Raw genomic sequence first — 13,650 nt, 5'->3', positions numbered from 1 at the left:
ATGTATTACAAAGAAGGGGATTGTTAAGAAGAAAACTGTTTTGGGTTGGTGACATTCTGAAAAGAGTAGAGGCTGATCCAGTTTGGGGATAGCTTAGAAATGTGTGAGAACATTAATGGAAAAAGATTTTATGAAATGGAAAAAGAGGAAAGCCCCAGTACTTTCAGTTTCTGGGCTAACCTTATTCAGTCAAATTTCATGCAGATGACTTACTGTAACTACAGAAATAACATAAGAAATGATTAGTTAAGATTATGCTGGCGGTAAAGATACTAATATTTTATTGCACATTGAGTTCTAGTTTACATTTTATGCAGAGGTAAATTAGACTGCAACGTTGTTTATCCTTGTTTTATGGAAGGCTTTTTTCATCACAGTATTAAAGGTTATTATTGGTTTATCTCCTCTCACTTCCTATTTTATTAGAATAAGGTGATTTTTAGTTTCCTTTTTTTCCCTGATAACCATAAGACACAGTAAACTTTAAACACAATGAGTTAACAAGGAGAATTAAACAGTTGTGTCCTAATCTTTGGAAGGTCATATTATAATGAGATTAAAATCTCTCCCTTCAGGTATTGTTCATTTGTAAACAAGTCTGGCTTGGCTTCTCATAAATGTTCCACTGATTGGATTAATCTCCTATGAAACATAAATTCCTTTTCCTTTCTGACAAGCTAGTCAGAGTCTGCCAGTTTGGTGATTGTTCAAGAAAAATGCAGCATGGAAGACAAAAAATGCTGCAGCAAAGTAAAATGAGCATAAAATGAGATTTAGCTGAGATTGAAGTATCTATACTGTCATTCAAAAAGGAATTCAACAGCCATTACGTGAGTTTTGTGTTTAGGCGGAGAAAGTGAGTAACAGCTGGATGGAGAGAAACAACGGGCTTTTCTCCCGCTGGCTGCTCTTCCCCTGGCTCTCTGCCCTCTGCCCCTGCGGATGCCATGCTTTTGGGGCCCCACACATGACAGCATCCACACCTGGGCACTGGTGCAAACAGATCACAGTCCTTAACAAAGAGTGCTACTTGAATAAATTTGTTATTTATGTTACCTGCCTCAAAGTGTTAGTCTTCTCTTAACCTCAGTCTTTCCTCAGGGAAAAATTTAATCAGTTCTACTGGGCAAAAATATCCACATCCTTGACTAGTAATATTATTTCCTGGATTTTTCACTTTGGCTGAAATTTGAGGAGCCTAGTCTAATTCAGATGTGATAACAGATTTTTTATTTTATTTTATTTTTGAGACAGGGTCTTGCTCTGTTGCCCAGGCTGTAGTGCAGATGCAAGATCATAGCTCACTGTAGCCTCTAACTCCTGGGCTCAAGTGATCCTCCCTCTTCGGCCTCCTAAAATGCTGGGATTACAGGTATGTGCTTGCACTTCTGACCTTATTCAAATTGGTTTACTTAAGCTGGCTGCAAATCTCTTGGTGGTATCTGATGCACAGATTGCATTTCATGACTCATCTTCTGCCGTTCTTTCTTTAAAGAGTGAATATCAATAATGCTAATTTTCTTAAGAAAAGAAGCTCTGACGTCTTAGCCTTTTCACACCTATTCCAATTCTCTTCACATCCAAATATGATACCCTTTTTCTTTAAAATGGTTTCAAATGTCAATATGGGGTAGTTACATGTTGAGAACTGAACTTTCATGTTTCATTAGCATGTAGATGAATGCCAGCAAACTTAATTGGAAAAATAGTTCCTTACAAGCAAATTAGGTTTTTTCACCAGTTATCATTAGAAATTGGAATTACATTTTTTAGACAAATAAAAAGAAATTGAGACTGCATTGAAAATTTTGGACAGAGATAGAGGATTATAATATTATATGCTGAACATTAAAGTACAATAACATCATTAGAACTTTTGGAAGTTACTTCCTCTATGTGATACTGAAGTGCTGGGAAGGGAAGGGCTGGTCCCTTTAAACAATATGGAAGAGGGGAAGGGAAGTGCTGGGTAGAGGAGGGTGTGGTCCCTGGCTAGGGCTCCACCCCTGGGCCGGTGCCCATGGACCTAGGTGAAGACAGGCATTTTTGTTTTCCTGCCCAAATGTTGCATTTCCCAAGACCACCCTGGCCTGCCGTGCCCCCGTCGTGTGTCCATAAAAACCCGAGACCCCAGCGGGCAGACACAGAGGTGGCTGGACATTGAAAGGAACACATCAGCAGAGGAACACACAGGGCTGGACGTTGAGAGGGATGCACTGGCGTGGGAGCACACCGGCACGCTGGCATGCCATCAAGGAGCAGAATGATGCGGATTTGCGGGGGAGGCATGGTTTGGAGAAAAGTTGGAACTCTGAGTAAAGCTGAAACTCCCAGTGGCCTGACTCCGGGGGAAAACCATCTCTCTTCTGGCTCCCCCATCTGCTGAGAGCTACTGCCACTCAATAAAACCTTGCATTCATTCTCCAAGCCCACACGTGATCTGATACTTCTGATATATCAAGGCAAGAATCCCAGGATATAGAAAGGCCTTTGTCATTGCCATAAGGCAGGGGTCTAATTGAACTGACTAACACAAGCTGCCTAGGGACAGGTAAACTAAAAGGGTACCCTGTGACACACGCCCACTGGGGCTTCAGGAGCTGTACACATTTACCCCTAGACACTGCGGTGGGGTTGGAACCTGCCCTTCTATATGCTCCCCTAGAGGTTTGAGCAGCAGGGGCACTTCAATGAACCACACCCCCATCACACACCTTGTCCTCCAGGGGGACAAGGGAAACTTTCTTGTTTCCCATGCAATATATATTTGTTCTTTAGTACTTTCCCTACTCTAGAAATGTATTCTCCATGGTAAATAAATCTTCTAAATCCAGAGAAATTTTCTGATGCCAAAGTATGTATCTTATGTATACATATGACATCTAGGATAATTTTTCCCCCATATTCTCCCCACACTCAGCTGCTTCACTGTTGTGTTCATTATCAATTATTACCTAGTTAAATTTGGAGGGGCCTATACAACAGCAATCAAAATTTCAGGTTAAATCTCTGGTTAACTGGTAGCAGGTCCCTGTAGCGGAAGAACCATATCAAAATCCCCACATTATTTCAGCCTCCGAAATAAATCAATGAATCAAAAATAAGATCCAAGCATACAGAGTTGAACAGATTCGTTACTATTACTTGCTGGCTGTGTAATTTGGACAAGTTATTTTACCTCTTTGAAGATCAATGTCCCCATCTATAAAATGGCAATATTAATACTTACCGTGCAGGAATTATGAGAATGAATGAGACGTAAAACTCCCAGCACAGACTCTGGCACATGGCAGGTGCTTAGTTTCATATCTATATGTGTGTGTGCATGTATATATATATGCTTATTATTAACAGTCATGATTGACTTGCACACTTTGTATCTCCTGCTCCTAGTCTTCTCCATGAAAGCTTTGTATAGCATGAGTTCTCCTTCACCCCGACTTAGAGGAACTCATCTTACATTTGACCCTGCTGGGTCCCATGCTCATGGGAATGGGTATTAAACTTTGCTGGCACTGAAGCTGGTCTCAGTACTTGCTAAGTTAGGAACGGGTTGCATCTTTAAGTGGCTTATCTGGCATCACACTTTCCACCGGTGTAATAACACCTCTATCATATGACCATTTTCCCCTATCACCACAACATGAAACCTGGATACTTTCTATTCCAGAGGGCTTCAAGGGTGTTGTAAGCATGAATGCACAGGGAGGGGATAACATCATGAAGAGCCTACAGTGTGCTGTGTAGCTGACACTCAATATTTTATTTAATCTTCATAATATTTCTGAGTGAGATATTATGTTGCCCATTATAATTCAAATAATATAAATATTTTGTCTAGGTTTATGCAGCTAATACTTGTCAGAGCTGGAAGGAGGATGCAGATCTTTTTGATTTCAAGTTCAAGAACGCCATTGAGATTGGTCTCAGGGAGCAGTAACTTCAAAACCAATAGATGTATCTTAGAGGGGAATGAGCTTAAAAGAAAACTCATAGCTATAAAGATGCTAAATCAGCTGTGTACCTCCTGGCTCTGCTTCTGCCTGCTTCTTAATTCCCACTGGCTTTGTTGCCTGATTTATCCCATAGAGTCTATGAATCCACATCAAATTGATCTTCTTCAGCATCTGGTCCTGGCTGTACTTCTGATTCTTTTTTTCTGCAGTGATCAGGTTTTTCATCTTGCCCATCATCTTCTGGACCTCAAATACCTGCTGAAGATGAGATTTTGCCTTAACTTAGTGGGCTTGAACTCTGTACTGATGATATGAAGCAACCCTGCCCTACCTGGTGGAGAAGGAAAATGTAAGATCTATGGACCTTACTTTAGGATGAACTTTTAAAAACAAATATGAAATATTCCCAGGCAGTTCCAAAACTTGTGTTTTATATGTTAAAATGTGTTTACACTAATATAAAATTTAACTGTCTTTTTATTATTGCGAACAAACCAAGTAATACCAATTAATTGAACTGTGCTTCTTAAACATTATTTTAAAATTAACTGTTATTAGTTTACTTGGCTCAGGCTTTCACCTGATCCTTGGCCTTTGTTTATGTGTCCACATCTTCAAGGTTAAATAATTTAAGTTGTCATTATGTTCTATGGTTAAAATTTGCATATCATGAGTGCTACTTTTCATTTCCAGGTCAACTTCTCTCCCAAGTCTGGTGTAGTCCGAGGAATTACTCCCTAGAGTGAAAATTTAAAAAGCAAACCTTGTTTCAAGTATCTAAGCTATCATTTTACATTGGAGTACTTTATGAATTTTTTTTTATTTGGATCTCCTTCGAGAAGTCCCCCTATAATTGCTTATTGAATAACTTCAAGAGTGTGTTATTATTATTTTTTCTAATCGGGTATCTTTAGAACCATAACAGGTATTATCTTCTAAGATGTAGTTATATAGGGCCCAGATCACTGCTACCAGATAAGACACAAAAGGAAAATCTGAAGAGACCCATATAGCTCCACCTACAGAGACAGGAGGAAAGGGAATTTGAAATGTGGAATCAAAAGCTGGAGGCCATAACAGCAGAAAGCAGCAACAATTTTGGATGATGGATTCTCAGTAACTTATATGTGGAGCACATCCCCTGAGACTTCAAGGGAAGTAACCAAATGGGAAATGGTAAGGTCTTAAGTCTGGATTGAGAGTCAAAGTTCAGAGGAGGAATGGCAAGAGTGAAACATAGTATCTTTTCTTAGCAGGACTGAGATCTAAGCAACACACTGGAATCCTAAACAAAGGGGAAACGTTACAGGAGTGCAGGTGGGGTTGAGCTTCAGGTATGTATCTTAGTTCTCAGAACAGGACATAAGGTTACTTAAGCCCAGCTTCCATAGGGTCAGGCAAAACAGCTTGAACATCCCCAATCTACAAATCCAAAATCTGAAATGCTCCAAAATCCAAGACTTTTGAGCACCAACATGATGCCACAATTGAAAAATTCCACACATAACTACTTAACACAACTTCGTTTCATGTGCAAAATTATTTACAATATTGTATAAAATTACCTTTAGGCTATGAATATAAGGTGCATGTGAAACATAAGTGAATTTTATGTTTAGACTAGGGCCCCAAGCCCCAGATATCTCATTATGTATGTACAAATATTCCAAAATCCAAAAGCATTCAAAGTCCAAACACTTCTGTCCCCAAGTATTTTGAATGAGGGAGAGACAACCTGTAGTTCCAAAAATTGCTTCTGCTTGAAGCCCCGTTTGGGTCTGGGGATAAATTTTCATGTACATGCTAGCCATGGGGAGTGGAGGCAAATAGAATATTTCCTGTAACATAGCACCTGTGGTCCTCTGATTACATTTGCACTAATTCCTAAAGTATCACAGGAACGTGTTCTCTTAACTCGGTGTCCCTAGAAACAGAACATGAGAGAAGGATTAAGGAAGTTCCTCCGGGAGCAACAGTGACGGAGTGGAAGAAGACGACAACAAACAAGGGTGTGATTTCAAATGAACCTCATCTAGCCTGATCATGCAGAGTACTGGGCCTAATTGGCATTTTTAACTTAAACTGTAGTCAACTATACAGCTAAATGAGTTCAAGAATAATTATAAGCAAAGATCTTTCATTTTTTTTCAACTTTCATTTTAGATTCAGGGGGCAAACAGGAAGTTTTTTAGCCCTTGCCCCGCTCTCACCCTTTCCCCTCTAGGAGTCCCCAGTGTCTATTGTTCCCATCTTTATGTCCATTTGTACTCAATATTTAGCTCCCACTTATAAGTGAGAATATGTAGTATTTAGTTTTCTGTTCCTGAATTAATTTGAGATTTTTATTTTATTCTTTTTCTTTATTTTTTTAAAAAACAGGATCTTGCTCTGTCACCCAGGCTGGAGTGCAGTGACGCAATTATAGCTCACTGCAGCATTGAACGCCTGGGCTCAAGCAATCCTCCAGCCTCAGTCTCTCGAGTAGCTGGGACTACAGGTGGATATCAACATGCCCAGGTAATTTGTTTTTATTTTTTTGTAGAGACAGGATCTCCTTAACTTGCCCAGGCTGTCTCGAATTCCTAGCTTCAAGTGATCTTCCTGCTTTGGCCTCCCAAAGTGCTGGGATTACAGGTCTGAGCCACCATGCCCAGCCTCAGAATCTTTCTTTACTACAACTCTGTAGAGATACTGCTGGTGCTCTGCTTGGATCCCTGGAATTCTTTATACTGCCCAGTACTGTTTCTGTATGTCCTCCTCCTTCTTCAAAGGATGACTTTGGGCTGCTGGAGTCCCTTACCAGTGCAAACTCTGTGGCATAATGTATGCTCCAGAAGGCTCTGCATGATCAGGCTAGCTGAAGTTCATTTGAAATCACACCTTTGGTGTCTCCTTCACTGCCTCACTGTTTCACCTGGAAGAACTTTCTTAATCCTTCTGTCATGTTCTGCTTCTAGGGACACAGAGTTAAGGCAACCCACACCTGTGATACTTTAGGAATTAGTGCAAATATAATTGTAGCAGCCCAGGTGCTATGTGATAGAGAATATTAATTGTTGGTTTGAGAATGTAATAGAATTTGGATATATCAATTATTTTGTTGCAAACCTCTGCAACTATTCTATGTTGTTTTTCTAGTTTTTTTTTTTTTCCCCCACGATTGGACTGTCATTGAAGTACATTAATCTAAATCTCAATCTTATAGTCACTTACACAGATTAGCATTTAGCTTGATGTTTGGTGATGTGCACCATAGTAGCTTAGAAGTAGAATGCACCCTTTCAAGTAACCTCTTTTTATAAAAACAGAACCAAGAAATGTTAACGTCTTGCTACTGTGTACTTACCTTTGTATTTAATAATCCTTCCATATTGCAGCACTGTTGTTGCTGGCTTAATACTGAAAATTTAATAGTATTTAATTAAAATCCGGAAATGTGCTTTCAATTCTATTACCCTAAAAAGTGGGGAAGAAAGGCTCCTCCTTACCATTTGCATTATACTGGAAACTGTTAAACACTTAATCTTCTCCCATAGTGGCTGTGTGCTTTTAAGAGGATTACATTATTAATTGTTTAATTATTCATTATGCTGCATTTTGCCATTCAGTACAAAAGCTTTTTTTAAATTAATTTAATGTTTCATCCTTCTTAGCAGTCCTTCTTTGTACTGGGCTCTCTGTTCTTTCATGATAGGATGTTGCAGCAAAGAATCAAGAGGACGCCTTGTTGAAAGCTAAGCCTGTTGCTGGAGCAAACAGATCTTTTGCCAGAGCAATGACTCAACACACCACAAGGCAACTGAGTCTTGCTGCTCTCCAGAGACTGTGGTTAGAAATACGTCACCAGCGGGAGCATCATTAATCACAAATGTAGGAGTGACAGTCAGTTTCTTGACCTCATTGAGACAGGCAGGGAGGTCATAGCTTCAAGCAGTTCATTCTTCAGGCAAGGAAAACTATTGGGAAGATTTCCTTTTTGTTATCGCTGGCATTTTTATTTAATCCCATCATTTTCCCCACAGTCTGGGCAGAAGTACAAAAGCTTCAGACAGGCACATTCTGCCCCTTTCTCTTTTTCTCGCTGCCAAAAGTAACCTTGGCAATTGATGGTTTAGGGAAAAACTACCACGCCCCCTTTCCTCAATCTTATTTTCTCTCATCCATCCTTTCTTATTCTCTTTTTTTCTTCGCACTTCTCTTGGGGTCTAAAGATCAGGAGGGTAGAAAGAGTCATCTTAATGGAGCCTGATGTTAGCAGCCCTGCCTATTTCTCTGTATTGATTGTAGTGGAAGGTTAGGAAGAAATCTTCCCTGCATGAGGGCACATATGTCCCTCCCGCAGTCGTCAGCCTGGTTGCTGTTGGAAGAGGGCTGGTGTTGTTATTAGAGCCTGTCACAGCCAATGAATTTCATTCCAGGCCCTACACAGGAAACTTCATAAAGGAAAAACACCAAGAATGAAAAGAATTCAAGAACCTTGGTTTGTATATCTGAGTGCACATTAGGACATTGAAAGCACATTTAATTTCATGCAGAAAATCATCATGATATCATCACAAAAGACAGTTTTGAAATCAGAAAGTGAATACGGTAAAAGGAGATTTAAATCATTCACTGCATTACTACTGTGCCATGCACATAATAGGCCTTTGGGGATACAGAATTTAAGATGCTGGATGTAGTCCTACATTTGTAGTCTGTACATTCCTGGGGGAGGGAGATGGATAAATAAACAAGTTAAAAAAAAAAGAAGAAAATTTAAAATAGAGACAAGAAAAATAAAAGAAATAAAAGAATGAGATGTGGAAGCATGGTGGTGGAGTAAGTACCTCCCCAAGAAAGTACAATATAAATATATACATGTTTATGGGTACTGCATGGAAATTTAAAGAAAATTCTGAATGTGCTAATTTTTCATTAAAAGGGAAAGAAAATTATTGATATTTATCATTATTCAAAGGAAATGGTTGTTTTTCAAGAAAAACAGTTTTAGATTAGTTCCTAACACATTTGGTTGGATCTTTCTTTGTTTCTTTCATTCTTTATTTCTTTTTCTTTCTTTCTTTCTCTTTCTTTCTTTCTTCTTTCTCTCTCTCTCTTTCTTTCTTAAAACCAAACCAACCAATAAAACAAGAAAAACCCCAAAACCTCATTTTAGTTCAGATCTAGTCTATAAATAAGCAGGGTTTTATGTTTCTTAGAATTTAATTAATCCCTAGTAAATTACTATCTTATGAGGGATTTAGATTTTTGTGTAATGCTGTGCCCTTTATTCCAATCCAAAGAGTATCCATGTATTTGGGGTTATAACACCAGTGTCAAAAAGTGAGAGTATCTGTTTACATGATGTGTCACACTTTTTCTCTCTCCACAAATTTGCTTTATTTTAAAAGCAATTAATGGGCTTAGCCATTATCTATCTTCAAAGAGATCTGAACAATTAGGGCTATCCTACTTTTTCCTTTTTTTCCCCCATTTCTGAAAGATACTACCTTTACCCTTGCTGTCATTAAGATGTGTTGCAAGATCTCTCTGAGGTCATGCTGTAAAGATTTTAGCCTTAGAAAATTAAAGCTTATGATAATATGTATCACAGAAACTTCAAAGATCCACATTATCAAATATAGTGATTTCAAACCTCAATTAACGTAGTTTTATGCATGAATACAAACAAACACCTGAACCTATTAAGACAGTGAATTAATGTATACATAAATAATTGTCAGTGGAAAAACAGAAGGGTTTAATGTAAATCTATGGCTGAGGTTTATTTATTTTGTGGATATTTTTACTTTTTTAGTTTTCTTAGTGACAGACAGATACATAAATGTTACATACACATTACGTGTTGAAATATATGTCCTCTTCTTTCTTGATTGTGTCAGTTCTATTTAGTTTATTTTTCAGAGGCTGCTGAGAGAATTACTTCTTTAAGAAATTGGGGATTGAAGATTCTGAGTGTTTTTTAGTCAGGCTCATTACCCCTCTATCTTTAAATGAAAATAGTAGGATCAACAAGGCATCTCAAAGGGCATTTTGACTATTTATCAGAAAATTGTCTAGGTGGTTATTTTTGCACATGAGAAATTTTCTATCTAGCAGTTGACTATTGCTTAATTAACAATTAAGACTATTGCTTAATTAATTAATAAACAAAAAAAAGTTTAATGATGGGAGTGCCCAAGAATATTTGGAGGAAGTTTTTTACCAAATTCAGTACTACTACACTTTCCCTAAAAGATGTCACTGAAAAAACTTCATATTCCATGTTGTCCTTCTATTACTGCAAAATAAGTGTTATTGTGGAGGTTAGCTTTGCACATGAACACAAAGCCCTGAACATATATGGTGAAAGTGAATTAATTTATTTAAGACACTTCTGTTTTTCTCAGAGAGCAAGTGGGAATGTAAAGCAAACTTTTCCTTTCTTCAAAGAATCTTTAAGGACAGCAAATTGAATTACAGGATTCGTTACATAAATAGATTTGTTTTTCATTGGAGGGGGCAGAATTTTATAGGAGAATGTGTTTAGGGTGAGATTTGTGTGGTCACAGGATGAAAAAGGAGGAAGAAACATAAGGAAAATTATTTATAGAAAACAATCAGTAAATTTGAGTCTTGACCTCAAGTTGTTTATGTCAACAGAAACATAATTTGTGGACCACCTTAATTATGTTTTGCTTTCCTGTTTCTGTCTGGCTGCTTTATTTGTCCACATTAAAGAAGGATTTTCCATACTATCTGGTTTCCTCTTCCTCACTTTATTTCTTTGGAACATCATTTTTTGGAATAAGGGAGTTACTTATTAAAAGCATCTTCCTTATGACAGCGTCCTCCTTTTCCTAAACAATGAGTTAGAGATTGTCGCCATTTATATTAACCCAAAGAAAACAAAACAAAAATTAGAATGTTTTTTGGTATAGAAATTTGGAAAAAGGGTGAAGCAAGATGATAGACAAATTTTACTGTGAAATATATCTTTTTTAAAAAGAGAAATTTTACCACACTTTACAGTTATTACCATTTAAACTTGCAAAATTAATAGGTAAAAGATAAATGTTCTTACAAATCAAAGAAATCTCCAAGGTCAGATTCAATTTTAGTACATCGAGTCACCATTCTCTGGAGAAACACCCTCTCAACCTTTAGTGCAGCTTGGAATGAGGCAAAGTTTTTGGTAATCTTCATTTCAGTGCTCTGGAAATCAGATAGTGTTTCTATAACTGGAATTATTATGATAGAATGGGATAAGAATTCAACTTACCTACTTTCCTGAATTGGAATTCCTAACTCCATGCATATATGAGATTTGTATTGGTAAGATTTTGTTTTGGTATATATGAAGTCAAGTAAGTAGCATTTCTGCAGGTAGATCAGGTATCGTTAACCTAGTTATTATAACATTTTAGTTACTTTTTAACAAAAATTAAAGAATAAGAAAGACAAATGACTAGGGAAAATTTACTTTTCAGCAATAATATATTGAATATAATACTCTGGGCAACATAATTAACACTAGTAAATTAATTAGATATTAAAAGAAAAATTGGTGCTCACATTTTAATTGAGAGAAAAATAAGAAGCTAATAATTGAAACACTTTGAGTGCATCATGAATGATAAGGGGGTATATTAATCCATTTTCACACTGCTATGAAGAAATACCTGACACTGTTTGATTGATGTATAAAGGAAAGAGGTTTAATTGACTCACAGTTCTGCATGACTGGAGAAGGCCTCAGGAAACTTACAGTCCTGGCAGAAGACAAGGAGAAGCAGGCACCTTCTTCACAGGGTGGCAGGATGGAGTGAGCAGAGAGTGAAGGGGGAAGAACCCCTGGTAAAACCATCAGATCTCATGAGAATGAACTCATTATCATGAGAACAACATGGGGGAAACAACCCCCTTGATCCAATCACCTCCCCCTAGGTTCATCCCTTGACACTTGGGATCTATGGGGATTATGATTCAAGATGAGATTTGGGTAGGGACACAAAGCCTAACCATATCATTTCATTCTTGGCCCCTCCCAAATCTCATGTGCTCACATTTCAAAACACAATCATGTCTTCGCCATAGTCCCCTAAAGTCTTATTCCAGCATTAATCCAAAAGTCCAAGTCCAAGATCTTACCTAAGACAAGGTAATTCCCTTCTGCCTGCGAGCCTGTAAAATCAAAAGCAAGTTAGTTACTTCTTAGATGCAATGGAGGTATAAGCATTGGGTGAATACTTCTTTTCAGAAAGGGAGAAATTGGCCAAAACAAAGGGGCCCACAGGCTTCATGCAAGTCTGAAATCGAACAGGACAGTCATTAAATCTTAAAGCTCCAACGTGATCTCCTTTGACTCCATGTCTCACATCCACATCATGCTGATGCAAGAGGTGGGCTTGCATAGTCTTGGGCAACTTCTCCCCTGTGGCTTTGCAGGGTACAGGCCCCCTCCTGGCTGCTTTCACAGGCTGCTGTTGAGTGTCTGTAGCTTTTCCAGGCGTATAGCGCAAGCTGTCAGTGGATCTACCATTCTGGGGTCTGGAGGATGGTGGCCCTCTTCTCAAAGCTGCACTTAGCAGTGTCCCAGTAGGGACTCTGTGTGGGGGCTCCCACCCCACATTTCCCTTCCACACTGCCCTAGCAGAGGCTTTCCCTGAGGGCTCCACCCCTGCACAGACTTTTGCCTGAATATCCAGGCATTTCCATACATCCTCTAAAATCTAGGCAGAGATTCCCAAACCTCAATTCTTGCCTTCTGCATACTTGCAGGCCCAACATCATGCAGAAGCTGCCAAGGTATGGGGCTTGCACCCTCTGAAGCAACAGCCTGAGCTGTACCTTGGCCCCTTTTAGCCACAGGTAGAATGGCTGGGAGACAAGGCACCAAGTTCCCCACCTGGACCCAGTCCATGAAACCATTTTTCCCTCCGATGCCTATGGGCCTGTGATAGGAAGGGCTGCCTTGAAAGTCTGTGACATGCCCTGGAGACATTTTCCCCATTGTCTTGGCAATTTACATTTGTCTCCTTGTTACTTATGCATATTTCTGCAGCAGACTTGAATTTCTCCCCAGAAAATGGGTTTTTCTTTTCTACTGCATCTTCAGGCTGCAAATTTTCCAAATCTTTGTGCTCTACTTCCGTTTTAGACATAAGTTCCAATTTCAAACCACCTCTTTGTGAATGCATAAACTGAAAGCACCCAGGTCACCTTTTGAGCTTCTTAGAAATTTATTCCACCAGATGCTCTAAATTCTCTCTCTTACATTCAAAGTTCCACAGATCTCGAGGGCAGGGGCAAAATGGCACCAGTCTCTTTGCTAAAGCATTGCAACAGTCACCATTATTCCAGTTCCCAACAAGTTCCTCATCTCCATCTGAGACCATCTCAGCCTGGACTTCAATGTTGTTATCACTATCGGCATTTTGGTCAAAGCCGTTCAACAAGCGTCTAGGAAGTTCCAAACTTTCCCACATCTTCCTGTCTTCGGAGCCCTCCAAGTCTCTAGGAAGTTCCAAACTTTTCAACATTTTCCTGTCTTCTTTTGAGTCCTCTAAACTATTCCCTAACCTCTGCCTGTTGTCCAGTTCCAAAGTTGCTTCCATGTTTTTGGGTATCTTTATAGCAGTACCCCATTCTTTGTGATACCAATTTGCTGTATTCATCCATTTTCACACTGCTATGAAGAAAAACCCAAAGC

The 13,650-nt window shown here is 38.8% G+C and overlaps 1 long non-coding RNA gene across 2 annotated transcripts in view; it reads left to right on the top strand.

Annotated features, from left to right (window-relative positions):
• LOC105370224 (uncharacterized) overlaps window positions 1-10,696 on the top strand; it is a 31,790-nt gene extending 21,094 nt beyond the window's left edge. The window contains exons 5-9 of one of the 2 annotated variants that reach the window (XR_007063813.1): window positions 1,255-1,372; window positions 4,166-4,305; window positions 4,650-5,965; window positions 6,336-6,473; window positions 7,651-10,696. This is a non-coding gene — a long non-coding RNA (uncharacterized LOC105370224). Of the gene's footprint in view, window positions 1-1,254; window positions 1,373-4,165; window positions 6,474-7,650 lie in introns of both variants that reach the window. The other variant, XR_941994.3, reaches the window with a different exon arrangement.
• Window positions 10,697-13,650: the final 2,954 nt, after the last annotated feature.

The sequence above is a fragment of the Homo sapiens genome, chromosome 13 (genome assembly GCF_000001405.40).
Source record: "Homo sapiens chromosome 13, GRCh38.p14 Primary Assembly".
Lineage (NCBI taxonomy): Eukaryota > Metazoa > Chordata > Mammalia > Primates > Hominidae > Homo > Homo sapiens.
The sequence above is the reverse complement of the archived record's forward strand: the minus strand, read 5'-3'. Positions and strand labels throughout refer to the sequence as shown.